At 57.5% G+C, this 27,215-nt stretch overlaps 2 protein-coding genes and 1 non-coding gene across 9 annotated transcripts in view, besides 5 other annotated features; all 3 read right to left on the bottom strand.

Annotated features, from left to right (window-relative positions):
• On the bottom strand, positions 338-18,638 carry GAA (alpha glucosidase). Of its 7 annotated transcripts, none has more exons than NM_001406741.1 (21): positions 18,499-18,638; positions 18,329-18,408; positions 15,087-15,664; positions 14,325-14,470; positions 12,497-12,662; positions 12,323-12,419; positions 11,810-11,929; positions 11,612-11,730; positions 11,391-11,522; positions 10,164-10,274; positions 9,379-9,492; positions 9,194-9,278; positions 8,119-8,236; positions 7,508-7,641; positions 7,192-7,343; positions 6,853-7,001; positions 3,110-3,251; positions 2,470-2,619; positions 1,862-2,026; positions 1,414-1,566; positions 338-947 (listed from the first exon to the last, which is right to left on the bottom strand). In NM_001406741.1, the coding sequence occupies exons 3-21, from the start codon at positions 15,630-15,632 to the stop codon at positions 888-890; spliced, it is 2,859 nt and encodes a 952-aa protein (NP_001393670.1). In that variant the 5' UTR covers positions 15,633-15,664; positions 18,329-18,408; positions 18,499-18,638; the 3' UTR covers positions 338-887. The 7 variants fall into 7 exon arrangements, 6 of the variants coding, with proteins under 6 accessions (NP_001393670.1, NP_001393671.1, NP_001073271.1 ...); NM_001406742.1 differs by having other exon boundaries at positions 18,294-18,408; positions 18,594-18,638; NM_001079803.3 differs by having other exon boundaries at positions 18,594-18,638.
• Positions 1,994-2,495: an enhancer, noted in NCBI's record as "H3K4me1 hESC enhancer chr17:78091523-78092024 (GRCh37/hg19 assembly coordinates)". NCBI's record gives its function as "activates a minimal SCP1, AML or CMV promoter by ChIP-STARR-seq in naive H9 embryonic stem cells {active_cell/tissue: H9 hESC(naive)}" and the evidence as "EXISTENCE:reporter gene assay evidence [ECO:0000049][PMID:30033119]".
• Positions 6,891-7,403: an enhancer, noted in NCBI's record as "H3K27ac-H3K4me1 hESC enhancer chr17:78086615-78087127 (GRCh37/hg19 assembly coordinates)". NCBI's record gives its function as "activates a minimal SCP1, AML or CMV promoter by ChIP-STARR-seq in naive and primed H9 embryonic stem cells {active_cell/tissue: H9 hESC(naive and primed)}" and the evidence as "EXISTENCE:reporter gene assay evidence [ECO:0000049][PMID:30033119]".
• Positions 9,433-10,408: an enhancer, noted in NCBI's record as "H3K4me1 hESC enhancer chr17:78083610-78084585 (GRCh37/hg19 assembly coordinates)". NCBI's record gives its function as "activates a minimal SCP1, AML or CMV promoter by ChIP-STARR-seq in naive H9 embryonic stem cells {active_cell/tissue: H9 hESC(naive)}" and the evidence as "EXISTENCE:reporter gene assay evidence [ECO:0000049][PMID:30033119]".
• Positions 18,032-18,141: an enhancer, noted in NCBI's record as "active region_12928". NCBI's record gives its function as "activates an Ori minimal core promoter by ATAC-STARR-seq in GM12878 lymphoblastoid cells {active_cell/tissue: GM12878}" and the evidence as "EXISTENCE:reporter gene assay evidence [ECO:0000049][PMID:35858748]".
• Positions 18,472-19,091: a silencer, noted in NCBI's record as "silent region_9099". NCBI's record gives its function as "represses an Ori minimal core promoter by ATAC-STARR-seq in GM12878 lymphoblastoid cells {active_cell/tissue: GM12878}" and the evidence as "EXISTENCE:reporter gene assay evidence [ECO:0000049][PMID:35858748]".
• Positions 19,606-27,215, bottom strand: part of CCDC40 (coiled-coil domain 40 molecular ruler complex subunit) — a 63,972-nt gene continuing 56,362 nt past the window's right edge. Inside the window, exons 18-20 of the mRNA NM_017950.4 lie at positions 24,768-24,956; positions 22,816-22,974; positions 19,606-20,692 (exon numbers count right to left, since the gene is read on the bottom strand). Coding sequence (NP_060420.2) covers positions 20,444-20,692; positions 22,816-22,974; positions 24,768-24,956 — 597 coding nt within the window. The 3' untranslated portion in view covers positions 19,606-20,443. The remainder of the gene's footprint in view (positions 20,693-22,815; positions 22,975-24,767; positions 24,957-27,215) is intronic.
• MIR1268B (microRNA 1268b) lies at positions 21,342-21,391 on the bottom strand. Its single transcript, NR_039607.1, has one exon. It is a non-coding gene; the product is annotated as a microRNA 1268b (primary transcript).

The following is a 27,215-nucleotide window of genomic DNA, read 5'->3' as shown; positions in this document are numbered from 1 at the left end:
GGGGAGGGGAGGTGAGGTGAGATGGGACGTGAAGGTGACATGGGGACATGAGGTAGGCATGTGAGATGGGGGTATGGGACACAAAGGTGACATGGGGCTTTAGGTGATGCGGGGACATGAGGTGACGGGATGTGAGGTGAGATGGGGACAGGACATGAGGTGATGTCAGGCCTCGTGACATGGGAACATGACGTGATGGATGCCGGCTTGAGACAGAGGACGGCGCACACCCACTGTGGGAATGTCTGGGGGCCTGCTGAGGACAAAGGAGCTGCCTCTGTTCCAGGGCCCCTGGATACATCCTCCCTGCCCTGAATCCCAGAGAGACCCGCAGAAGCTGATTCCAAATGCCCCTTTTATTAAAAATAATTGCACTTAAGATTTAGAATCTCCCAAGTCCTGTGAATTTTCCTGAGTTCCCAGGCTTGCTCGGGGACCGGCAGGCATCCAGCCCTCTGGGCAGCCGGGCAGCGGTCGCGTTGGGGCAGAGCAGCAGGCGCGAAGCAGGAGCTCAGGTGCATACCCCACACCTCCACCTGAGCACCCCCTTCTCCGGTGCTGGGAACAGATGGAGGGGGGTGGCTAATACTACCCGCATGCCGGCAACAGGTGAGGAGGGCAAACCTTACAATCTTATTAACACAGAGCAGCCCTCCAGGGCCCCGGCCCACAGTGCGATCTAGGGAGAAAGCTCTCCTAGACACGTTGGGGGCCAGAGCCCCGGCCCAGGAGGTGGAAACAAGCGATGCGGCGGCTTGGAATGGTTAGTGCCCAGCTCCAGGTGACACATGCAACCCCCAGGCCCGCACACAGCTGCTGCCCGCACACAGGCTCTGCTTCCCTGGGGAACCAGCCTCCCTCTGGAGAGACTAACACACTCCGCCCGGCTAACACCAGCTGACGAGAAACTGCTCTCCCATCAACAGCGAGACACAGATGTCCAGGACCTGGAAAAGAGAGAGCACAAATGGAGCAGCCCGAGATCCCAGCAGCAGTGAGACCCCAGCGCTCAGAAGGCGGCTCCATCTGGCCCCGAGATCCCAGCAGCAGCGAGGCCCGGCGCTCAGGGGGCAGCTCCGTCTGGCCCTGGGATGCTTCGCACCCGGTTCCTCCCCGGCAGGCGCAGGGGGACCCCGGCTCTCAGTGCGGGTCACCTTAACGCACGCCAGAAACGCGGTGCTGCTTCAACACGGCTCAGAGGTCGTCATTGTGGCCCCATCACCCACGTGTAGACACAGGAGGAGGAAAGGCACAGCCTGTGTGGCCTGACCCTTCCCACTCCTCCCCAAAGACCCCCTTGGGAGGTCCCAGCATCCTCTGTTCCTGGCATCGGTCACCAGGACGCCCAGCACCTTCTGCCCCCTGCACCACGGCTGGGGGACGCGATCCCTGTGCCACTCTGGGCCCTCTTGCCTTGGTGTCGGGGCTGTAGGTGAAGTTGGAGACAGGGACACCGTTGGAGAGGACCTGCTGGGGCGCCGTGGCCACGCCCAGGACAGTCACCTTCTGCAGCTGCAGGCCAGCTCCCTCACTGGTCACACGTACCAGCTCATTCACGATCGTGTTCTGGGCCGAGCAGAGAGAGATGAAAAGGCAGAGAATGTGGAGGTGTCAGCAGACAGCTGGGGCAGGAACACCCATGAGAACAGGGACTCATGATGGCATCAGGGAGGTGACCTCCCTCTGTGTACACGAAAGGGCAGAGTGCACGGCCCCACTGCTCACTCTAGGACCCCAGGCCACCTGCTAGAGTGTCCTAGTGGCAGGTAGCCATCGTGGGACCCCCAAGCCCAGGTCCCCTCACCCCTTCTCAACCCCGAGCCGGCCCCTGCCCACCAGCCTGAGCAGCCCCAGGACTCACATTCCTGGCCAGGAAGATGACCTGTGTGTAGGCCCCTCGCTCCAGCACTTCCAGGCTCTCTCCATCGTCCCAGAACAGCTCCCCTCGGGCCTCCCCACCCTTGGTCAGGGCCACAGCCAGGGCCATGGGCTGCTGGCGGGACTCTGTGGTTGTGAGGCCAGGGCCCTGGAAAGGGAAGGACACGTGATGTCATCATCCCCACCCTGGTGGAGGTGGAGGCCTCCAGGGCCCGGGAATGCTAGGCTGGTACAGCACCAGGCTGCCAGTAACTAGGATCTGCAGGAACACCTGCGGCCGCAGGGGCTGGAACCCCGTGGTGATGACCCAAGACCTTCCCCACCTCAAGTGCTATCCCACGGCTGCCCGAGGCCGGGCCCGGCAGAACCTCCACCATGCAGACCACTGAGCTCCTGCCGGCCATGCTCCACGCCTTTGTGGGGCTGTGCCCTCCCCACCTCACTGGCCTGGCTGGCTCCTTGATAACCTACACTGCGGGGGGCGGCCCCTCAGAAGCCCCACCTGGGCCTCTCCCCCACCATCTCCCTGTGCCTCCCCCAGCTCTGCAGTGTGCTGTCCACACCCCCACCATAGCCGCCTGGCCCAGGTACCTGCAGGGGGATGATGTACCCAGCCCGGAGGTGGACGTTGATGGTGTCCAGGGGGGCCGGCAGCGTCACCCACTGCCCCTCGCTGTGGATGGCTGGCTCACGGGGAGCTGCAGGTGGGGGTGGGAGGCTGCCAAGGGCCTCTACTGGCACCTGGAGGGAGATGTTGCTTTGAGGATTCTGGGCCGTGCCGAGGCCCCCATGCTGTCCTCAGGAACCACGCTCTCCATCTCCCGGGGCTCCACGTGGAGGCCTAGGAGGCCTGGCACAGACGGGCTGAACTGTGACTTCAGGCGCAGACTCAGGGCTCACTGTAGGTAGGGACCCTCCTGGCTACTGAGTGGGGACAGTGCCTGAGAGGCCTGGGTATGCCAGCTCAGCACAGGCACAGCCTGTGATGGCCGTGGGACTTGGCCAGGTTCTGCAAGCAGGCCTCAGTCTGCTCATCTGGGAAATGGGGATGGTGTGAGGAGCGGAGAGGCTGATGGGTGCGGAGCAGCCGGGTGGGGGCCTGGCACATGGCCGGGACTCAACACATACGTTCCTCTTTCCGCCACCTGGTCACACCAACTGGGTGGAGGGGGCAGGTGGGAGGGCTGCTCTGGTCTCCCGTCTCCCCAGGGCTTAGGGTCCCCAGACTCACCGTCTGCAGGTCGTACCATGTGCCCAAGGGGAAGTAGCCAGTCACTTCGGCCTTCCCGGCCTGGAGCACTGGGGTGATGAGCAGGGCCTCCCCCCACAGGAGCTGGTGGTCCACAGTCCAGGTGCTAGAGTCCTTGGGGAACCTGCAAGGGGGATGGGCACACAGGCATACGGGTGATGAATGGGATGGGGCTGGCTCATATGCCCACCCTGGGGAGGCACAGGAAGAGGCTGAATTCTGCTCTCTGGAGCTCAAGGTGCCGGAGGACTTGGAGGACTCAGGTCAGACGGGCAGGGATGATTCCAGCAGATAGAAGTCAATGCCGGAGCTGGGAGAAGCCTTCTCCCCGGACATGCCGGCAGCTGGGCTCAGGGCAGGAATAGGGGCTTGTGCTTGAGGCACCAGGATGGACACAGCACTGGCCTCACTTTGCTCGCTCACTTATCCTCCGGTAACCAAGGCAGCATGTGCTCATCAGTCAAGTATTTGGAAAGTACGAAAAAGTATCAACAAAGAGAAAAGATCCTCCCAGTCCCACAACCAAAGGCAACTTGAATTAACATCTGACAAAAAGATGAATGTACATGTGCAAGCAGCTCTACGGAGGATTCTCCGTCTAACGGAGACTGTCCTGCCCTGTGACGCAGCTCTGCCCTGTCCTGTTTCCTGCCCCCGGACGTGCAGGGGGCATCCAGTGCTCAGCTATGATCCCTGCATGGATACATTCATGGAGCGTTCATGCCTTTTGAGGTGACTTCTTTAGGCCCTATTTCTATTTGTAAAATTAACGCATCAATGTGAATCTCAAAAACATTGACTGATATGTACTGTTGCTTTCCACAAATGTGCCAATTTATATTCCACCCTACTGTGTCACTGTGTTCTTGCCAGCAAGGGATAGTCTTATTTTCTCTAATGTATTCTAATTCATGGGCAAAATAAATGGTGTCTTTCTGCTTCAAAATATTTCTTGCAAAATACATTTCTTGGAGTGATGTCAGTGAAGATGGTGGAGTAAGCCCCTCTCAAGATCCTCTCCTCTGTGAAAACAGGAACATCGGCAAAAATGGTCAGAGTTGACATTTTTAGGACTCTTGAAACTAACCAAGGGTTTGCAGCCATCTGGGGAGCATGTATTTAACAAAATGGCTGAATCTTTGTAAGAACAGCAAGAATCCTTGGCCTAGCTAAGTGTTGACGGTGCTCCCCACCTCGCCCCAGCAAAGGCTGGGAGACTCACGGATGCCATCTGTGAAGGATATCTGACCAATTATTGGCTGTCCACTAAGCTAGTCAAGCAGAGACTTTGGTGGCCACACACAATGAAGAACACAGACCTTATGGAATTAGCTCAAGAAAGTCACAAAACAATCAGCAATAGCAACGAGACCTGAGGGGGATGGGGAATCTGATGACCACAGCAGCTGCGTTTAAAATGTCCAGTCTGAAACAAAAATGTATGAGACACGCAAAGAAACAAGAAAGTATGGCCCACAGATGGGGGGACAGTAGTTAATAAAAATTGTCCCTAGAGAAGCCCAGACATTGGACTTACTAGACAAAGAGTTTACGTCAGCTACTTTAAATGTGTTCAAAGAGCTCAGCGAAACCGTGTCTGAAGAACTAAAGGAAAGTGTGAGAACATGACTCACCAGATAGGGAATATCCTTAACGAGAGAAACGTAAAGGAATGAAACAGAAATTCTGGAGTTGAAAAGAGAGCAACTAAAATGAGAAGTTCACTAGAGGGGCTCAACAGCAGATGAGAACTGGTGGAAAAAAGAATCAGTGACCTTGAAGACAGGGCAGTCAGACTAAGCAGTCTGAAGAACAGAAAGAAAACACAACGAGGAAGGAGTCAACAGAGCTGCAAAGACCCCTGGGCACCGTCAAGCATACCAATGTGTGGAACGGAAGTCCCAGAGTAGAAGACAGAAAGGGGCAGAAAAAATATTTTATGAAGTAATGGCTGAAAAACCGCCCAAGTTTGATGAAAAACATCAATGCATACGTCCAAGAAGCTCAACAAACTCCCAGTAAGATAAACTCAGAGATCTACACCTAGACACACCATCGGGACTTCAAAGGCCAAAGACAGAGAATCTGGGAAGAGGCAAGACAGAAGCTACTCAGCAGAAACCACGGAGGCCATGGGCTGACAAGTTCAAAGTGTTCAGAGAAACGACCGCCAGTCAAGAACCCTACGTTGAGCAGAACTTTCAAAAAATGAAGGAGAAATTAAGAGACTCTGAAGTCAACAAAAACTGAGAGAATTCATCACTAGCAGAACTGCCCTACAATAAATACTAAAGGGAGTCCTTCTGCTGTAAATGAAAGATGTTAGACAAGAAGTCAAAGCCACATGAAGAAATAAAACCATGGGTAAAGGTAACTACATCAGTAAATATAAAAGGCAGACAGTGTGTATGTACTTTTTGTTTGTAACCCATTTTTCCCTCCTATTTGACTTAAAAGATAATTGAATAAGGCGGTCATTATAAATCTGCGTGGATGGGCTCATCATGGATACAGACGTGTAACAGCACAGAGGAACGAGAGGCAATGGAAACCACATAGAAGCAAAGCTTTTTTATGCTATTGAAAGCAAGTTGGCATCAGTTCCAACGAGGCTAAAATTAAGATGTTAATTGTAATCCCTAGGGCAACCACTAAAAAAAAAAAAAAAAAAGTGTAGTGACAGAAACAACAAGGTCATTAAAATAGTAATTAAAACACAAATTGCGTTTCTTGGATTTCCGGGTGAAGAATGTGTGGATACCATTCGTATCTCCTGTTTTGCAAACAGTGTTCCTCCAATTTGGTTCTTAGTCTTGGTCTTACCAACGTATGAGTTCTCTACCTATTAGGAAGAGTAGCTATTTGCTGTTTTATTGACAATGCCTTCTCTGCTGTTACAGTCCATGTTCAGAGCAGTTTTAATCTTTTTGTGTTTATATTCAGAGATTTACATTTTTTTTTCTGCTATGGTCAAATAAAGTTCACCTTTTTTTTTTTTTTTTCTCTAAATGAAACCTTTCCCCAGAGATACACATTCACTTATCTTTTCCTGTGGAGTCTTTCACAGCTTGGTTTTTTTTTTTTGAGATGGAGTCACACAGGCTGGAGTACAGTGGCGCGATCTCGGCTCACTGCAATCTCCTCCTCCCAGGTTCAAGGGATTCTCTGGCCTCAGCCTCCTGAGTAGCAGGGACTACAGGCGCCCACCACCATGCACGGCTAATTTTTGTATTTTTAGTAGAGATGGGTTTCACCATGTTGGCCAGGCTGGCCTCGAACTCTTGACCTCAGGTGATCCACTCGCCTCAGCCTCCCAAAGTTCTGGGATTACAGGCGTTAGCCACCGTGCCTGGCCTCCACAGCTTGATTTTTGACATTAACTATTTAATTTATCTGGAACTTATGTTTCTATGGTATGCAAGAAAAATAAATTGACTTCTGCAAATAGTTAACTAATCACCTCACTCTCTGGGAATCCTCCCTCAACACACTGATGTGCAGGGCTGTTGTTAGGAACTCCTCGTGTGTACTACGGCCTGTCTGGGGGATATTACTGGGTTTTCTTGCTGCCCTTCCCCCTTAAGCCAGGCCCAAATGTTGTCTCACTCAGCGGCAACCTGCTGGGTCCTGGGGAACACAGCCCACAGCAGGACAGGGCTGCCTGGGAGTTACGTGCCCCTCCCCCAGGGCACACATGGGCCACCGCCCCTGCCTAGGTCACTCACTCCAGGAAGAGGGGCCGGGCCACGGTCTCCCCCGCGACGTGGGCCTGGTGGAACAGTGTGTAGAGGTGGGGGAGGAGTGCGTAGCGCAGGGTGAGGGCCTTCCTCATGGCCTGCTGGGCCGGCTCGCTGAAGCTGTACGGCTCCTGGGGCTGCAGGGCAGGCGGGGGCAAAGGAAGCACTTGGGTGCTGGGGCCGCGGTCCCCTGGAGTCCCCGCCTCGGGAGAGCTGCACTTCTCAGCCACCCAGCATGGGGTGCTTCTCCAGCAGGGGTGGGATTCCCAGGGGAGAGTCTTGGGTGGGTGGGATCGCCCACCTGCCATGCCGCCACCCCCACCCTACCAGACTGAGCAGGCTGTTGTGGTTCCGCATGAAGGGGTAGAAGGCCCCCAGCTGGGTCCAGCGCACACACAGCTCCTCTGAGGTGTTGCCCAGGAAGCCGCAGACGTCGGCCCCGACCAGAGGCACCCCCAGCAGGTTAAACTGCAGGATTTCTGGGAGGGCAGAGTCAGGCTGGTCCTCAGGCTGCTGCAGCAGAGCCAGCTCAGGCCAAGTGACCCAGAGCCCCACCTGCTAAGTGGGTGGGGGGCCCCGGCAAGCCTCCCATAGAGGCCCCCGGCTCTACTCTGCTGAGCAGCCCCTCCTGGTAGGAGCTCACCTGGCACGGAGGAGGCGAGCTGCTCCCAGGAGCTCCACACGTCCCCCGTCCAGTGGCCGGCGTATCGGCCGTGGCCAGCAAAGGTCGAGCGGGAGATCACAAATGGGCGTGTCCCCCGAGCCTTCACCAGCGCCCTGGGGTGGTGGGGGACACCGTGAGGGCTGTGTGGAGCGGGGTCACTCGGGAACCCTGTCACCAGCAGGGCAGAGCTGGGAGCAAGGAGCTTTCTGGGATGAGGCAGAGGCTGGGGAGGAGGACGGCGAGGCTACTGCCCATGTCTGCGGGCACAGTTGCCTCTGTCTGGGCCACCTGATGCCTGTAGGTGAGCCAGGACCCCCCCCAGCCTCACAGGAGTCATGAGGTCCCCGCTGATGCAGACTCCTGTCAGCATCCAGGGTCCTTCCTCTCCAAGCCCCAGGCATGAAGTGGGAAGGAGCGCTCCAGCTTCAGGCTGGGGTGCAGGCAGCGGGTGGGGAGAGCACTCGGGCCGCCAGCGGGCCCCGGGTGGTCTGGGCCTCCGCTTTTCCTCCTCCCTGAGGCCCTGCAGAGGCCCCAACCTTGTAGGACAGGCTGTGAGGGCAGAGCCCAGTGGGGCGGGACGTGGCCCTCACCTGTGGGAGGCGATGGCTTCGGTCAGGCCGTAGAGGTTGTGCAGGTTGTAGTGTGTGGAGAGAAACTGGTGGCTGGAGGCACAGATGGTGGCCGCCTGGAGGGTCCCCCCAACCACCCCTGGAAGAGGCGGGGGCTGGTTTCCAGGGAGCTTCCTCCCGGCAGGCTCCAAGGTGCCCTCCCTGCCCCCCACCTCCCAGGAGCCCCTGTGCAGGTCGCTGCCTCTTCAGGCTGGCCCTGGAGGTGCACCTGCAGCCGCTCCCCACGCCTCTGTGGGGCTGGCGTTACCCGGGAACCTGGGTAATCATCTCCACTGCTTCTAAGACAGGGCTGGGCGGGTGCTGGAGCCTGGGCTCTGCAGACCCCCAGACTTCACATCCACCGTCTCTTGGCCCATTTCAAGCACTCCCCTGCCTGTTTACCTAAGCCCAAAACCCCATCCTCTCACTGATTCTTTGCTGGGCCAAACTATAGCCTCAGGCCCCCAAACCTTCTCCCAGGCCCATCCTTGTACTTCCTTGTAAAACCCAGTTTCTGCCATTCCTGCTAAGACAGTTTGGCGAGAAGCCCCAACCTCCACCACCCCTCAGGCGATGTCTGGTCACCCTGGCCTGCCTTCAGCAAGAATCCTGCTGGGTCAGTTCAGCCAGAATCCCCCTGACCCCCATGCTTCTTCTTGGTAATTCCTGCCTCTGAGCCCACCCTGCTCCCTGGCTAGAAATCCACTTGCCCGTGCTGCATTCGAGTTGGGCCTGACCTCTCCCCACGGGTGGGTAGGTCTCCGCTGCATGGTCCCTGCGCCTATCGAGACGGCTCTGAGTCGAGTCGGCCTCACTGTGCTCTGGCAAGCACCTGTGAGCGGCGTCTCCTCCGGCAGGGCCTGTGCCTCTGCACCCACCCTGTCTGCACTGCTTGGCTGAGTCTCCCAGCCTGAGCCTTTCTCCTGGGGATCCCCCCCCCGCCCCTTTCCCCGCTGGCCCATCTGCTTCTCAGAGATGAGGGTGCTAAGTCTCCCAGGCCAGACAAGGGAGTCTCTGATTTGATTAAGTCCCCAGGGTAGGTGGGGGGCGAGCTGACCAGGCACGTAGGGTGGGTTCTCCAGCTCATTGTTGGGGCAGCCGTCCTCAGAGCCCCTGATGAAGTTGGAAGGCTCGTTCATGTCCTGCAAGAGAAGCGCTGCTGGTAGGTGACTCTGCCCAGAGTGAGGAGGGTGGGGTAGTCCCCAGAGGCCTTGGGGATGCTCAGGAGGGGGCCACACTTACAATCCACATGCCGTCGAAGGGCACCTGGTCATGGAACTCAGCCACCATGTCCTCCCACCAGGCCAGGGCTGTGGGGTTGGTGAAGTCGGGGAAGGCAGTGGACCCGGGCCATACCTGGACAACGAGAGGCTGCAGTGGGGAGACCCGGCCCCACCCAGGGCCTGCATGGAAGCCCCACTGAGCCTCAGCCTGAGCAGAGGGGCAGCCTCACTCTTAGTGGACGCCCACATTTGCAAATCTGAGAGACCTGCACCCTGGAGGTCAATGAGCAGCTCTTTCTCCACAAGGCACTGATGCGGGGCCAAGGGGCCTCAACCCTGGGAAAACGAGGGGTCACCCCCAACACGTCCACCCAGGGGCTGGGCTGCAGAACCAGAGAGCGTCAGGGAGAAGGGCAGCGGAGACGGCCCCGTGCAAGCCCTGCCAGGCAGCCTCACATCCGCACCAGACCCTCCCTAGCTGCTCCCTCAGCGGGGGCCCTGCCTGGAGGCCCCTGGGGGGCTGGGAGGACAAGGAGGACCCTAAGGCCTCACTGAGGGTCTGCAGGGCTTGTGCCTGGGCCAGGCCCAGCTGCCCATGAAGTCAAAGGCCTGCTGATGGAAGAACTCACGGGGCCATTCCTTGTAGGAGCCACCATCGTCACGGGCCACTGTGGCCCATTCCTCTCAGCTGTCCCACTGGGCGTGATGGCTCCTCAAATCCCACCGTCTTCCTGAGCAGCTGCCGGCTCCCCCTGGCTGGAGGCCTCTGCTTTCTAACCCCCGTCCCCTGGACCCTCGCCCTACCTTCCCAATCAGCGGCTGGCCGGTCTCGTTGGTGATGAAAACCCCCCTCCGCAGACCCTCGTCGTAGGGCCTGTAGCTCCCGGCAGGGCCCGAGCTGCTGATGGCAGGATCCTGGGAAGAGGGAAACCTGTCAAGGTGAGGGTGGCCCAGAGCCCTGGCGCCAGCCACGGGGAAAACTGAGACAGTGAGAGGATGAGGCTGGGGATGACATCATGCGTGTGTACAGCATGCCTGCCTGTGTACCTGCACATGCCTGCACACGCCTGCCTGGAGAGGAGCCAGGGCCGGGCGAGTCAGGACCAGCTGGCTGATGAGGGGCGCGCCGGAATGGAAGCTTTACCTTTACCTTTTCTTTAAACCTCTAGAGTTTCCCAAGTGTTCTACAGTAATCACTTTTCTTTTATAATTAAAAAAATGTGAGAAAGAAAAAAGTCTGTGTTTCCACTCCTGCTCTTAAGGGCTACTACTGTTTGCTGCCTGCAGAAGGCAGGGATGGAAACAGGCAGCATCAGCACAGCCCCACATCTCATCTGTGCTTCCTCTGCTGAAGTGGATCTTCCGGGCAGGAACTGTTGGATCTTTTCAGCTCGCCCTGCCTCCCACCTCCTCCTCTGGCCATCGTGCCGGACACCAGACTCGGGCTGGACCAGCCCCCAAACTGCATCCTTCTGGCTGTGGGACTGGCTCAGGGAAGGGCCTCTTTGTGCTGGGTGACTCAAGAGTCCTGCTTTGGGACTTTTCTATGGGAGCTGATGGGAAGAAGTCTCCGCTCTGTGGTGCCAGCATGAGGGCTGGAAGCTGCCCTCACTCACGCCGTCCTTTCCAGGGATTCAGAGCCGGCCAGAAGGAGAGGCACGGCCAGAAGGCACACGGAGCCTCCACAGTTCCAGCGATACCCATGCCCAGGCCCACCGGGCCCTCCACTTTCCAGGACCAGGTGACATCAGTTTATCATGCCCCTGGCCTTTTGCTTTAAGGCAGTTCAAGTAACCTACATCTGACAGAACCCTGAGTAGCACCCGGCCATTTCTGGGGACCCTCAAACCCGACCTCCCTGGACAGCTGGGGCCAAGCCTGCAAACTTCTTGATATTCCCTCGATATCACAAAGACCCTCAGAAAACATCCTCGGCGACCACACAGGCACGAGGATGACGCTGCACAGAGAAGGAGCCACTGGGCACCGGGCGGCCCCCTTCCCAAAGACCCACAGTGTGGGGGCACACACCACGATCATCATGTAGCGCCGGCCGCCCTGGTGCAGCTCCTGCACCATGGCCGGGAAGTCCCGGAAGCCATCCTTGTTGAACGTGAAGTCCCTCCGGGAGTCCATGTAGTCCAGGTCGTTCCACTGGACGTCCTGCAGCCACAACACGGGACCGTCTGCTGGGGCCTGAGGAGACGCGTCCCGGCCAGCCCCTTGCCTCCCCTGCCACCACCCCAACTCACCAGGGGGAAGTGGGCCCTGGTCATGTTCTCCACCACCTGGCGGGTGATAGCGGTGGAGGAGTAGCCCCAGCGGCACAGGTGGAAGCCCAGGCCCCAGTATGGCGGCATGAACGGGTATCCTGCAGGCCAACGCCGACTTCATGAGGGAGGGAGGAGGGAGCCTTGGGGCGGGGGCCGCGGCCAGGGAGCAGGCCCTACCCACAACGTCCAGGTACTGCTGCACCACGCTCTTGGGCTCTGGGCCCAGGAAGATGTAGACATCCAGGATCCCACCTGTCGACCTCCAGCTAAGGGCAGGGCTCGGCTGCAGGACCACATCTGGAAGGGAAGCAGCTCTGGGGTTGGGGGACAGATTCTTCACTTGGAGGGCTCTGCACCCCACAGATGGGCCAATCACAGGCGGAGAGTTGAGGCTCTCTCCCCACGAGGAGCTCAGAGTGGCCTGGGGAAGCCGTGCTAAGCCTGACTCAGGAGGAACCTGGCATGGGACGGAAAGATATGTGGTGCCAGCCCACCTCCAGGCAGGGCCCCAGAACCCTCCTTAGGAGCACAGAAGGCCAGAGTTGGGAGAGGCATCAGCCCATAGGACTCATTTCCCAGAAAACACAAGGCCCAGCACCGTGCCCAGGGCCCCTCATGCGGACCTCCAGTCTCCAGGGCAGGCAGCACGGAGGAGACCCCGGCCCGGGCGCTGGGCGGCGGGCAGCTTACCCATGGCATTGCTGTTTAGCAGGAACACCCCGTGTGCCGACCCGCCGTCCTCCAGCGCCAGGTAGAAAGGGTGAGACCCGTAGAGGTTCGCACCGGGCTGGGACATGCAGGAGACGGCGCTTCAGCACCTGCGCTCCCCAGCTCAGTGCCCCCGCCCGCCGCCCGCCGCTGTACCGTGGGCGCAAGGTCCCGGTTCCACAGGGTGATCCTGGTCCAGCTGGTGCTGAGCATCAGGGGACTGAGGTGCTCGGCGAGGCCTGTGATATACTGCGAGGGCAGCGAGGTGGACAGCTGAAGGAACTGGTCCGCAAAGAACAGGGGCGCCACCGTCGTGTTCAGCCTGCGGGACAGAGGCCAGCCAGGCTTGCTCACACCCAAGGGGCCACACGAGCCTGAGAGCACCCAGAGAGCACCCCCGGGCCCTGGTGCCCTGGGAGGGCGGAGTGGCCTGGCCAGCCCTGCAGCACACTGACCCTGGGACAGGCGGCCGTGCCGAGCCCTGCAGCCCTTGGCACCCTGGCACCAGCGTGATCAACTCTCAGGGCATATCAGAAGAGGCGCACCGCCTGGCTGGGCCCACACCACCCCTGAGGGGCCCCCAAGGGGCTGACCTCCAGGAACTGGCTGGTACCGGAACTGGCACACATGCCTGTCCCATGACCCCAAGCAAGGCTGGGCAGGGGCTGAACAGAACCTTTCCAGGCCTAGGAGCTTGTGGCCAAAGTCCTCCCAGATCCCAGCCCAGCCATGCCTGAGAAGGACCCCTGAGGTTTGCTGGGGGTCAAGTGCAAGGCAAACAGCACCTCCGAGAAATGAAAGCCGCAGATAAACCCGGTCCACAGGAAGACGCGTCCTCTGTTAACACAGCACAGCTAATTTCGCAGGACGGGCTCACACCGCACCCACCCTCCCCTGGGCAAGACTACGCTGAGTGCTTTCAAGACCGAGATCTGATAAGATGCCTGTTTGTTGTTTGTTTTTTGAGACGGGGTCTTCAGCAAGGCTGAAGTGCAGTGGCAAAATCATGGTTCACTGCAACCTCGAACCCCTGGGCTCAAGGGATCCTCTTGCCTCAGCCTCCTGAGTAGCTGGGACCACAGGCATGTGCCACAATTCCCAGCTAATTTTTTATTTTTATTTTTTAAGAGATGGGGTCTTGCTATGTTGCCCAGGATGGTCTTGAACTCCTGGGCTCAAGTGACCCTCTCGCCTTGGCCTCCCAAAGTGCTGGAATTGCAGACATGAACCACCATACCTAGCTTGATAAGATGCTTTGAGAAACTTCTCTTGGGTCTCTCTACTCAGAGGTCAGCTCAGAGAGGCCACCCCTGTCCCCTGCATCTGCACAGCTGGTTTCCAGAGTGGCCTCCCCACCCCCCACTCCTGCACAGCTGGCTTCCAGAGAGGCCACCCCTGCCCCCAACATCTGCACAGCTGGCTTCCAGAGAGGCCATCCCTGTCCCCTGCGTCTGCACAGCTGGCTTCTAGAGGGGACCTCCCTGCCCCGTGTCTGCACAGCTGGCTTCTAGCGTGCTCTCTGCATGACCACTCCCTGACGCTGTGTCTGCATGGACTTGCTTATGGCTTCCCCTCACTGTGTGTCTGTCCCCGGGAGCAGGATCCAAACCACCCGGCACGGAGGGTCAGTGCGTGGACACTGAGTAAATGAATGAGCAAAAAAAGAAAAACGCATTTCCGAAGGCAACTTCTCTTAAGATTAAGGCAAATCCAAGTGCTGTCGTTCCTGAGAGTTTTCCTGAGTTAAATGACAAGCAGGGGCTTGGTGAGTCCTGAACACGTGTTTACATGGGATTTAGACCTATGTGAGTAAAAGACCCAGGGAGCGCCCTGTGAGAAATGCCCGTCGCCCTCCCCGCCGTGTGAGAAACAAACATGTGTCGCCCTGCCCATCGTGTGAGAAACAAACGCGTGTGGCCCTCCCTGCCGTGTGAGAAATGCGCGTCGCCCTCCCCATCATGCTGGCACAGAGCCCAGAACTCACAGCACGCGGCCGTCCAGCTGCCGGCGCACGATCACCCCGAAGGGCTCCTCGGAGAACTCCACGCTGTAGAGTGGGGACGGTGCCCGGCTGTGGACATGCGGGGTCTCCAAGGGCACCTCGTAGCGCCTGTTAGCTGGATCTTTGATCTAGAAGAGATGGGGGTTTATTGATGTTCCCCACAGCCACCTTACTCTCCAGAGAACAACCCGCACGCCAAGGACAGGTCAGGTCCTGGTGCAGCCACACATGGATGTGGGACCATGGGCAGCACATTCAGCCTCTCTGAGCCTCGGCTCCCTCATCTGCAGAGCCAGGAGGAGGACGCCTCCCCCAGGATGGAGGTAAAATACAGAACACCTGATAACTCTGAATTTCAGATAAACAACAAGCAGCTTTTCTAGTATAAATACATCCCAAATTTTGCATCCTTACACAAAAAAACAAAGTCATGCCTGGGGTATCTGCAATTCGGGTTTACTGGGCATCCTGTTTTCATTCGCAACCTCTGGCAGCCCTACTCTACCTGACCCACCTTTTCATAAAGATGAATGAGCCCCGAGCCCTGCCTTCTGGAGTACCTGTCACCGTGGTGTCCCCACTGCTCCCCGAGGGGCGCTGCCATTGTCTGCTCACACCTCCGCTCCCAGCAAGGGCCCAGCACACAGTGGTGCAACATGCACCCCACCCTTGTGAGGTGCGTGGGTGTCGATGTCCACGCGCACCCTCTGCCCTGGCCGCCGCCCCCGCCCCTGCCCTGCCCACCGTGAAGTGGAGGCGGTTCTCAGTCTCCATCATCACGTCCAGCCGCAGGGTCAGGATGTCCTTGGGGAAGAAGGTGGGGGTGGTACGGGTCAGGGTGGCCGTGTAGCCCATTTCAGAGGAGCTCAGGTTCTCCAGCTTGTAGCTGGGGTAGCTGGGTGGGAAGAAGCACCAGGGCTGCCCCATCTGGGCTCCCTGCAGCCCCTGCTTTGCAGGGATGTAGCAACAGCCGCGGGCCTCGCACTGTTCCTGGGTGATGGCCTTGTCAGGGGCGCAATCGAAGCGGCTGTTGGGGGGGACGTCGCACTGTGTGGGCACTGCTCTGGGACGGCCGGGGTGTGCCTGGGCATCCCGGGGCCCTGGTCTGCTGGCTCCCTGCTGGTGAGCTGGGTGAGTCTCCTCCAGGACTGGGGAGGAGCCACTCAGCTCTCGGGGAACCAGCAGGAAATCATGGAGTAGGATGTGCCCCAGGAGTGCAGCGGTTGCCAAGGACACGAGGGCGCAGACGGCCAGGAGCCGGTGGGAGCAGGGCGGGTGCCTCACTCCCATGGTTGGAGATGGCCTGGACAGCTCCTACAGGCCTGCGGGAGAAGAAAGCGGGCTCAGCAGGGAGGCGGGAGGGGCGGCACTCACGGGGCTCTCAAAGCAGCTCTGAGACATCAACCGCGGCTGGCACTGCAGCACCCAGGCAGGTGGGGTAAGGTGGCCAGGGTGGGTGTTGCCCTGCTGTCTAGACTGGGGAGAGGGCCAGAAGGAAGGGCGAGAAAAGCTCCAGCAGGGGAGTGCAGAGCACTTGCACAGTCTGCTAAAATGTTACAAATCAAACACGCTTAGAATGTCCCCAGGAAGACCAGCAAGGCAGGTAGACACTTGAAACAGGCCAAACAGCTGTCGCCTGGGCCAGAGTGCTGTGGTGAGATCCTGGCTCACTGCAACCTCCACCTCCCAGACTCAAGCAATCCTCCCACTTCAGCCTCCTGAGTAGCTGGGACTGTAGGCACACACCACCGCACCCAGCTAATTTTCTGTATTTTTGTAGAGACGGGATTTTGCCATGTTACCCAGGCTGGTCTCGAACTCCTGAGCTCAAGTGATCCACCCCCCTTGGCCTTCCGAAGTGCTGGGATTTCAGGAGTGACCACGCCTGGCTGGGAGCCCCACTTCTGCATAAAGGTGCGGCTTGGTCCACTGGGTGTCAGCGGAAGTGATTCTGGCAACTCGTATGTCCTTAGGGGGACCCAGTACCTTTCCTTGCTCCCTTTCCTATTGACTGGTGCACGGACATACCACAGTGGGGAATCCTGGGCACCGCAGCTGAGGGTGACACTCCAGGGGTGGCAAAGCCACAAGAGAGAAAGGACTTAACCTCTGGCGACTTTGCAGATCAGAACCCCTCCCGGCCCCCGAGGTACATGGGGAAGAAACACAGTCTCTGTAACAGTGGCTGCACCTGGAGCCTCGGGTACAGACACAACAAGGATGTCGCGTGCAGATGAGATATGGGGGTTCGCTTTCATTATTCTGCTGGTAAGGTTAACAAGTACCAACGACCTTTGTTTCGCTTCTCTGTACATTAATATTTTATGGCAAACATTCTATTAGCCTGGCTCCTCCCAGGAGCAGCCGGAACCCACATGCGATTCAATATGCATGGATTTCAATAGGGGAGTCCCTTTGGTGTGTGTAATACACCATGGGGAGGGCGTGGGGAAGGCTGGGAGAGCCACCGCACCTAGGCAAGTCTGACCCCAGGGAAAGGAGGAAGAAGGTGTCCTAGGAGCAAGGCCATGGGGGAGGGATGCAGAGAGGTCCTCAAACCAAAGTCAGCCATCAGAGGGGTCTGCGTCTCTGAGGAACGGGCCTTGGAGCAGAGGCAGGCAAGGATTTCAGAAAGCAGCCCCTGGCCAGTGAAGCTCCTTGGAGCAGAGGACTGTGCAACCTTCTCTGGTACTGGGAGCTGGTCACATACCAGGAAGAAGTGAACTCAGGGCCCGAGGGAGTCTGACCTGTCATGTCATGTTACAGAAGGCTTGGCTGGGAACGCTCTGCCCCCGGCCGGACGTGGTGTTCCACCGTGGGCCACTGGTAAATTAGGGCTCTCTGGGCTGGAGGGTGAAACATTTTACCCACACTTCTGACATTAAATGTGTAGGGTTTTTCTCACACCCATCAATTCTGCAACTTTCTGGACACGGCTGGGTGTCCTACAATTCAATTCAATCTTGACACTACCTGGAGTCAGCACAGACTCCACAGGTTAAGGGCTCAGTCCCACAACACTGCCTTCACTTCAGAGGCCAATGGCAAATCCCAGGTTGTCACTTGTACTTTCGATCAACTAGTTATAAATTCAGAGGTTCCCAGGACTCCCTCTTCAGGGTCACAGAACTCAGGAAAGTGCGTTTCTTACAGTTGCTGGTTTATTACAAAGGATAAAACTCAGACAGCCGTATGGAAGAGATGCGTAGGGCCTGGTGTGAGGTGGGGGCAGTGATGCTGTGCTCTCTGCTCGCACCACCCTCCAGTGCCTTGGTGTGTTCCACAACCCGGCGGGAAGCCCTCTGATCCCTGTGGTTTCTTACGGGGTTCCATTGTGCAGGCATGGTTGACTAAGCCACTGGTGATTCACTCAATCTCCAGCCCCTCACCCCTTTTCCATCCCAACCCGTCATCAGGCCTTGGTCTTTCTGGCCATCTGCTTCCATCCTGAAGCCACCTGGTGTCCCCGGTCATCAGTCACCTCATGAGCAAAAGGCTCTCTCATCACTCGGTTTCCAAGGGTTTCGGGTGCTATGTGCCAGCAACCAGGGACAAAGACCAGAGACAGTCACCCCTGGCCTGGCCTAAGGGGGTCTTTGTGATTGAGACATTCAGATTTCAGAGCTGGCCCAGGGGCCCCCTCTCAGGCCACGGTGCTCCTCACCCCAGGGATTCAGACCCAGCCATGTGCGTCCTGCAGGAGCAGGAGAGGTGGCTCGGGTCCCGGCCAGGACTGAGCACTGCGTCGATCAAAAGGGGAAAGGAAACCCTAGAAACGGGAAGATGCAGCCTCCAGCCCCAAGCCCAGCACAGGAGGGCGGCTCCCCGTTCATCTCTAAGCTGAACTCAGATAAAGACCGGGAGGACTAGAGGTCTGGGGCTCAAGCTCCGCTCAGGGGAAGAGGCTGGGGGCACGGCTAGGCACGTTCAAACCCGCTTCTGGGATGTTACCGCCGGCAGCGCGGGGCAGACGTCAGGTGTCTCACCCGCTCCGTGCCTCAGTTTCCCCGTCAGCTGCGGCACGCGCAGAGCCTCCCTCGCTGAACAACGGGCGGACGAGGAGAACCTAGAGGTGGCCGGGGTCCTTCGCGTCACCGAGGTCACTGTCCTACCTGCTGCCTCATCCCCGACCTCCACCCGCGGCCCCGGCGACAACCTCAGCTTTCCCAACTGAGAGGCCGCGCGGGCAGCCGACCGCCCCACCGACCCGGCCCGCGCTCAGGGAAGCCCCGCAGCCCCGGCCCGGCTCACCTCCGCGCACGCGCGCCCTGGCCGCCCGCGGAGACTCCGGGGTCGTGCCCGGGGGCGCGCAGAGGCGGGTCACGTGACCGGCGGGAGCTCGTCGCGGGGCGGGGCCGCGGTGGGTCACGTGACGCGGCCTCCCGCGCAGGCGCCCGAGGCAAGGGTGCGCGTCCGCGCTACGCCCCCCAGTGGCGGCTCCGGCAGAGCGGGCCTGGGCGCGTCCTCGCTCTCGGAGGGGGCCTGGGGAGCGCGTCTGGCTGCGCGTCCGGCGTCCCGCGGGGAGAGGCCCACGCGTGCTGCCCGCTGCCGGTTCCTCTGGGGTCAGAGACGGGGCGAGGCCCCCGCTGGCGCAGTCCCGGCCCGGTCCCCGTGGGGTCGGAGATGGGGCGTGGCCCCCGCTGCCCCGGCCTGGGTCCCCGCAGCTCGTAGGGCTTTGTAAGGGGCTGGCCCAGCCGCGCCTTGCGCCCAGGGATTCCTCCTGCCAACGCGTCCCGAGGGCATCATCGGAAAGGCGGCCAAAGGCGCTCAGCGCCAAGTTAGAAACAGCCAACATTTGGAAAGTCCTTAAGTGTGCTCCATAACTCACAGTTATTCCAGAAAGGAATAATCAAAACATTGTGATAACCCATAAAACTGACAATTGAGAAAACATTAAACTGACACAGGGGGAATTTTTTCATAAAATGAGAAAATGCTTACATTAAGAGGAGCACATTTTTACATGTGAGATACAAAAAACACACAGTATAACCTTAACTTGCCTAATAAAATGTATGTGCAGAAAAATACAAAAGGAGCCACACCAAAACACAGAGGTGTTGTTCCTGGGTAGGGGCATAGGGGCATTAAAAGCCCCCTTTCCAGCTTGCAGCGAGCCGAGACCGCGCCACTGCACTCCAGCCTGGGCGACAGAGCGAGACTCCGTCTCAAAAAAAAAAAAACAAAAGCCTCCCTTCCACCTCTGTTGTGGTTTCTGTATTTCTACAATGTTTTAAAATAAGTAAGGCTGACTCAGAAAGGCTTACTAGATATTCAGAAAAAAGATTTTATTCTTCTGCTGAAATGTTTGAAAGTGAAATTATTTTGTAGAGCATTTTCCCTTTAAACTGCAAAGAAGCCCCAAGGTCATTGGTACTTGGAAGTCCAGGGAGAAAGAGCGCTGGGTTAATGATGGAGAAAAGATAGGTGGGCAGACTGGGGCGTAGTCCCTTGGTGTGGACGCCCCAGCGTGCTCTTATTTCAGTGCTCACCCTGTTACGTGTGTCTGGGGCCACTGACTTTCTCCTGCAAGCTGTGGATCTGAATTTAACTCAAATGGGGACATGGGGGCAGGAAAAGGGACCTGAGAGTTCTAAGGGGTGGGGATGGGAAAACTGGTAAAGAAGGTGGTTTGTGGGTTTTCAGATGCACCTAGTAGAGGGAAGTGCTGGGGGGACCAGCCTCCCGGGCCAGGCTGGCTGGAGCTGCCTTAACTTTCCCACCTCTGCTCAGCCCACCAGCTTGTGGACCTGTGGCAGCGTTGTGTTGTGAGAGGCACGTGCAGATTTGGGAGTGCTGCAAACCAAAGTGTTACCTGGACGAGTAAGCCCAGTGTGGGAGTGTGGGTGTGTGGGTCTGCAGTCACAGGCTCTGTCTTTGCGATGGGATGCCATGGGAAACGCTAGGATTTTACCTGGTTTATTAAATTGCTGAGTGGCTAAAAAGATTCCTATGGGTGGGGCTGGCTTATTTCTCTTAAACGATGCCCTTCTGAGGGTACATGTGGTTTTTAGGAACACAAAAGATTCCAAGTCCCTCATGACAAACACAATTCCGGATCTCTTCCTGGAGGCCTTGCAAGGCGGAGTCCAGGCTGCTCCCTAGGAGGGCCCTGGTGACTCGAGCTTGTTGGCGATCATCTGGCTGACCTTGTGCAGGGCCTCCTGGAACTGGGGGTACTCGTCCCGCACGCGGTCCAGGATGGTGGCGATGAGAGCCAGTCGCTTGTCCAGGCGCTGGCGCTCCAGCACTAGGGACTGCTTGGAGCGGAACAGGAACACGTAGCGCCCCTCCTTCACAGCCTGCAGGTGCTTAAGGCGTGTCTGCAGGGCCACGATCTCTGAAAGGTTCTGGGTAGGAAAAGAGACTCCATATAGGGCTATGCAAACCAGAAGAAAGACACCTGCTGGCCCCCCACAAACTCAGATTCCAGGAAATGCCGAAGAGGAGGCGAGACCTACGCCTGAAAAGGGACGGCGTGAAGGTGTTGCGCCCCTGGATCTCAGGGAAGAGGCTGAGAGGCACTGGGTCGGTGCTTTATGGGTCACCCATCATCACCATCTAGGAGGCATTCTTTTTTTTTTTTGAGATGGAGTCTTGCTCTGTCGCCCAGGCTGGAGTGCAGCGGTGCGATCTCGGCTCACTGCAAGCTCCGCCTCCCGGGTTCACGCCATTATCCTGTCTCAGCCTCCTGAGTAGCTGGGACTACAGATGCCCGTCACCAGGCCCGGCTAATTTTTTGTATTTTTTTTTTTTTTAGTAGAGACAGGGTTTCACCGTGTTAGCCAGGATGGTCTCGATCTCCTGACCTCGTGATCCGCCTGCCTCGGCTTCCCAAAGTGCTGGGATTACAGGTGTGAGCCACTGTGACCCGCCGGCATTTTTTTTTTTTTTTTTTGAGGCTGTCTCGCTCTGTTACCTAGGCTGGAGTGCAATGGCACAATCTTGGCACACTGCAACCTCTGGCTCCCGGCTTCAAGCGATTCACCTGCCTCAGCCTCCCAACTAGCTGGAATTACAGGCACCCACCCCCACCACCACGCCCGGGTAGCTGAGATTACAGGCGCCCGCCACCATGCCTGGCTAATATTTGTATTTTTAGTTGAGATGGGGTTTCGCCATGTTGGCCAGGCTGGTCTCGAACTCCTGACCTCAAGTGATCCACCTGCTGCGGCCTCCCAAAGTGCTGGGATTACAGGCATGAGCCACCGTGCCCGGCTTAGGCAACCTTCTTGACACCTGCCGTGTGTCAGGCCCAGTGCCAGGCACGTTCCCCTCATCATCTCAGTTGGCCAGGCCAGAACCTTGGAGCCATTCTCCACCTCCGTCTCTGCTCACACCACAGCCAACCCAGCAGGAATCCCATCGGGCGATGTTGGCATAACGCATATGCAGAGCCTGATGGCTTCTCGCCAGCCCCACAGGGGCCGCCCTGAAGCACTGCAAATAGCCCCAGGTGCCCCCCGCATCCATGCTTCATCCACATGCAATCTTAGAGCGCGCGGGAGCCCGCTAAAGCCCAAGTCACCTCTCAGACCCAACGCCCTCCTCTGTGTGCCCACCTCCCCAAGAGAAAAGTCCAAAGTCATGATTGTGCTCTCCCTAAGGCCGCACACAGTCTGGGCCGCCCCTCTCTGCCTGGGTCTTACATACCCTAACCTCCCCAGCCTGCCCCACTGGCCTCTAGTAGCCCTTGCGCAGTCTCAGGCTTCTGCCTTGCCGGGCTGTCCTGTCCACCTGGGGTGGTTTTGTGGGCTGTCCCCTCCTTCAGGTCTGGACTCCAATGTCTGCTCCGCAGGGCCTTCCCGCATCACCCTAACTCAAAATGTCAATCCCTCAGTTCACCCCAATGACCCTGACGCTTCTTTCTCTGGTTTATCTTCCTTCAAAGCATTTACCACCACCTAACACACCATTTCCCTTTTTCTTTTCTTTTCTTTTCTTTTCTTTTCTTTTCTTTTCTTTTCTTTTCTTTTTGAGACAGGATCTCCCTCTGTCACCCAGGCTGGAGTGCAGTGGTACAACCTTGGCTCACTGCAGTCTCGACCTCCCAGGCTCAAGCGATCCTCCCACCTCAGCCTCCTGAGTAGCTGGCACCACAGGTGTGTACCACCATGCCTAGCTACAACACACTGTATCTTTTAAAATTATTTTGCTCATCATCTGTCCTCCTGCCCCAGGAGGTAACCTCTAAGAGCACAGGAATGTTTGTTTTTTGTGTTCTATTTTGTAACCCTCGCACGCTGAACATGAGCCCAGCCCATAACAGATACTCCATCAACATTTGTCAGTGGAACAAATCACAAAGCCACAAACATGTGAGCAGCCGGTGGTGCTATTACTGGCCTGGGATCAGGAGAGGCCGTGACCTGATCAGGAGAGGCCGTGACTCGCACAGAGGGGACGCAGGACCTCTGTGTGAGTGGCATGTTCCATGGCCGTCATCCCCAGGGACCTCCTGGGACACGTTTACCTGTCGTTTGAGGGCCCCAAGCCGGGTGAGGTCGGCCTCGAGTGTGTCGAAGTCTGCCTGAATCACCGACAGCTTTTCCTGCTTCTCTAGGAGGGAGCTGCTCACATTTCTTTGTGTTTCTTCCAGTTCCAGGACGGTTTTGGTGCACTCATCGGTGGCCTAGGAGAATCACAGGACCATGCTGGGCCCCTGCAGCCCGGCTACTTGGCGGACAGGGAAGAGTCAGGCTGGGAGGACCTGCCAGGCACCTTCCACACACTCCATCCAGGGAGGCTCCCAAAGAGGAATGGGAGGGCTGGAGAGGCGAGGCCTGGGAGATGCCAGGCCCAGCCAGCCCACACTGCACACTGCTCCTTTAAGGCAGGTGTGGCAGAGAGATGGGGGCCTGAGTGGTTCTGGGGCTCCCCGTGCAGTGGGTCTGTCCCCAGGCAGGAGACTGGCACAGTTCAGCAGCCGTGTGCCAAGGGCAGGGCTGAGGCTGTAAGGGCCGAGAGGCAGGCTGGGGAGCCTGGGAGAGAGGAGGGTGGGGGCCTCTGCTGAGGGAGGAGCGAGGCTGGGGCCATCTGTGTGGTGTTCGTTCCGCCTTCGGGGAAAGCAGCACAATTAAGAGAAAGAAAAGCCGGGCAGGCAGTGTTTGGCAGCTGACATGGTCCAGGGGGTGATGCAGGAGACACAGTGACTCTCAGGGCTGGCTGGGGACACGGAAGATCTTTGGGGTGGGGCTGGCAGGGGTGAGGACAAGGACCCATCAGTGATGGCGTCGTGTGGGGCGCAGGGCCTGGGGCTGGAGAACTTGAGTGTGGCTTGGAGCAGACAGGAGGTGAGGGGTGGGCATGGGGTCCTGGCAGGGGACTCAGGGGGTGCCCAGGGCAGCAAGGAGTGGTCAGGGGCCGGGCTAGGAAGCTGAGGGAGGGATGGACATCAGGAGTAGCCAATGTAGTGGAAAAGGACTGAGAAGAGGCCACTCTGCCGCCTCTCTCCAGAAACTTCCAGTTACTTCCAAATGAGCAGCCCATGCATGTCTGCCATTTTTGGCTAGCCTTTCCCTACAGGGATGACTTCAGCACTCTCCAGGGAACCCTCTGGGTGACTCTGAGAGGTGGGCACCCATTTCACAGGTCAGTAAACCAAGGCTCTGGGAGGTCAGACCGTATGCCCCAGTCAGGAATGGTCCAGCGTGGCTCCAAGCCATGCTGTCAGCTGTCCCCAAGGCCACCTCCCCACCCACGGCTGTGGTTGCTGTCACATTTAACTCTGCCCCTCCACCCCCCAGCAGACGAGGCCCTGCAGGTCTGGCAAGGCCCACATACTCCGAGGTCACACAGCGGGTCAGCGGGGCTGTGGGGCCAACCTGGGAAGTGTGAGTGCAGGGCCCCTGGCTGGCAACCGTTGAGGTGGTAAGCACCGGACAGCACCAGCTGGGCCCTCCCAGTGCAGGCCCAGTGGACATGGCCTGGGGTATGCGGATGCAGGCTCTCGAGGCGCCCACCCCGCTCCCATCAGCTGGTCCCCGGTGCCCACTCGGGCTCCCCAGCATGAGCTGGCCTCTTCCCCAGAACTCTATGCCTTCCCAATGCCACCTCCGATATGCAGGGAGGGGCTGAAACACGGCCGTCTCTGGGTGTCAGCAGCTCTGTCCGGTGCGGGCATTCTGCAGTCTCCCAGACAGGCCCCGTAGCAGCAGCAGGTTAGCAGTGCTGAGCACGCCCCTCTAACAGCCTCTGGATCCTCACCCCTGACCCCGAACCCAGCAGCAGGTTAGCAGAACTGGGGATGGTCTCTCTGCATCCTCACCCCAGACCCAGCACCCAGCAGCAGGTTAGCAGTGCTGAGCACGCCCCCACTGCAGCCTCTGCATCCTCACCCCGGACCCAGCAAGACGCCTTCCTGGAGTGTTCCTTGAATCCCAGAGAGAGGAGCAGGCGCCCTGTTTCCTTTCCGCTGCTCCCTACCTTGCGAACGTCCCTGATTTTCCGGCGCAGCTCAAGCTGCTTGTGGTGGAAGTCGGTGCGGGTGAGCGCCTTCCTGTCCATCTTGCGCTGCCCCTCGGCCTGGGTGGTGACGGTCTCTCTGCGGGCAACCGCCAACTCCATGGCACGGATCATCTTCTCCTGCTGCTTCAGCAGCTGCCCGAGCCTGACCTGGGAGACAGGACAGAGGGGCTGGGGCTGGGGCAGGCCTGAGCTGCAGCTGCAGAGAGAGTGGCCGGGGCGCTGGCCTCGCTCATCCTCCGGTGACACGCATGGGGATCGGCGGGGAAACAGTGAGGCCTGTGCCGCCAGGAGGAACAAGGGACATGGAGGCAGCAGCCCTGGGTGGGAACCCGGAATCCACAGGCAGACAGTGCAAGGTGGAGAAATGGCCGAGACCTGAGGCCACCAAGGAGATGTGAGAACTAAAAGCAACTAAGCCAGGGTCAGATCCTGCAGCAGAAAAAAATCTCATTGAGAAAATTGGTGAAATCTGATTAGAGTTTGTAGTTTGGTTAGCAGTATTGCATGAAGGTTAATTTCTTAGTTGTGACAATGCACCTTGGCTTGGGTGGAGGACCTGGGGCTGGGGACTGGGTTGTAGCGTGAGGATTGGCTGCGGGGGTGCACAGGAACTTTCTGGAGTCATAGAAAGGTTCTATGTCTTGATGGCGTCAGTGGCTACGTAGATGTGTGCGCGTGTTAGAACCCACCAAACTGTGCTTTTTTAAAAATTTTTTGAGACGGAGTCTTGCTCTGTCACCAGGCTGGAGTGCAGTGGAGCCATCTAGGCTCACTGCAACCTTCGCCTCCCGGGTTCAAGTGATTCTTCTGCCTCAGCCTCCTGAGTAGCTAGGATTACAGGTATCTGCCCCCAGGCCTGGCTAATTTTTGTATTTTTAGTAGAGATGGGGTTTCACCATGTTGGCCAAGATGGTCTCGATCCGCCCACCTTGGCCTCCCAAAGCTGGGATTGCAGGCATAAGCCACTGCACCCAGCCTTTTTATAAAAAAAATTTTTTGAGACACAGTCTCCTTCTGTTGCCCAGGCTGGAGTGCGATGGCACAATCTCGTCTCACCGCAACTTCCACCTCCCAGATTCAAGCAATTCTCCTGCCTCAGCCTCCCAAGTAGTTAGGATTACAGGCACCTGCCACCACGCCTGGCTATTTTTTTTTTTTTTTTCAGTAGAGACAGGGTTTCACCGTGGTGGCCAGGCTGGTTTTGAACTGACCTCAAGTGATCCACCCGCCTCGGCCTCCCAAAGTGCTAGGATTACAGGCGTGAGCCACCGCACCCAGCCCAAACTCTGCGTTTAAAATAAGCATATTTTATCTTATGAAAGTTATGCCTAAAGTTGATTTAAAAGAAAAAACAGGCAAGAATCCCGAAGATAAGCAGGGTGAAGGGAGACCAAGCTTACTCAGGTTTAAAATGTACCATAAAGTGACTTGGAGCCACACTAAGAAACACTAAAAAGTCTGTGTGGCAAAAGACCCCCTAAACAGAGGGCAAAGACAATGATAGGTCAGAGCCACTATTTTAATAGGTATTGAAGACAGGGGTTAATAACCGAATGTATAAGGAACTCCTAAAAAATGTTAAGAAATAAGAAAACAGGCCGGGTGCGGTGGCTCACGCCTGTAATCCCAGCACTTTGGGAGGCCGAAACCGGTGGATCACCTGAGCTCAGGAGTTTGAGACCAACCTGGCCAACATGGTGAAATCCCGTCTCTACCAAAAATACAAAAATTAGCCAGGCATAGTGGTGCACGCCTGTAATCTCAGCTACTCAGGAGGCTGAGGCGGGAGAATCACTTGAACCCCGGGAGGCAGAGGTTGCAGTGAGCTGAGATCGTGCCACTGCTCTCTAGCCTGGGCAACAGAGCGAGACTGTTTCAAAAAAAAAAAAAAGAGAAATAAGAAAACAGCCTAATATTAAAATCAGCTGGCCGGGCACAGTGGCTCACACCTGTAATCCCAGCACTTTGGGAGGCCGAGGCAGGTGGATCATCTGAGATCAGGAGTTCAAGGCCAGCCTGGCCAACATGGTGAAACCCCATCTCTACTAAAAATACAAAAAATTAGCTGGGTGTGGTGGCACATGCCTGTAGTCTCAGCTACTCAGGAGGCTGAGGCAGGAGAATTGCTCGAACCCAGGAGGTGGAAGTTGCAGCGAGCTGAGATGTGAGTGCCACTGCACTCCAGTCTGGACAACAGAGCAAGACTCTGTCTTAAAAAAAAAGGAAGTCGGAGGAATTTCGTAAGTATAGAGTTACAGAAATCAAGACAGCAGGGCATTGGTGAAGGGACAGAAACAGAAATCAGTAGAACAAAACAGCCCAGAAACGAACCCACACAAACGTGTCAGCTGATTTCAACAAGGACTGGACGGTAGTTCGGTGGAGGAAGGGCAGTCTTTTCAGGAA

The sequence above is a fragment of the Homo sapiens genome, chromosome 17 (genome assembly GCF_000001405.40).
Source record: "Homo sapiens chromosome 17, GRCh38.p14 Primary Assembly".
NCBI classification, from domain to species: Eukaryota; Metazoa; Chordata; class Mammalia; order Primates; family Hominidae; genus Homo; species Homo sapiens.
This window is presented reverse-complemented; position numbering and strand designations above follow the sequence as displayed.

Bases quoted from the DNA above. Each gene is read 5' to 3' on its own strand.
- GAA (XM_047435719.1), bottom strand. From the start codon at position 15,632: ATGGGAGTGAGGCACCCGCCCTGCTCCCACCGGCTCCTGGCCGTCTGC. The intron at 12,663-14,324 runs GTGAGTTCTGGG...TCTGTCCCGCAG, and splicing joins CAGCTGGACGGCCGCGTGCT to GCTGAACACGACGGTGGCGC. The intron at 7,344-7,507 runs GTGAGCTCCTAC...CTGCCCTCCCAG, and splicing joins GCTCGCCTCCTCCGTGCCAG to AAATCCTGCAGTTTAACCTG.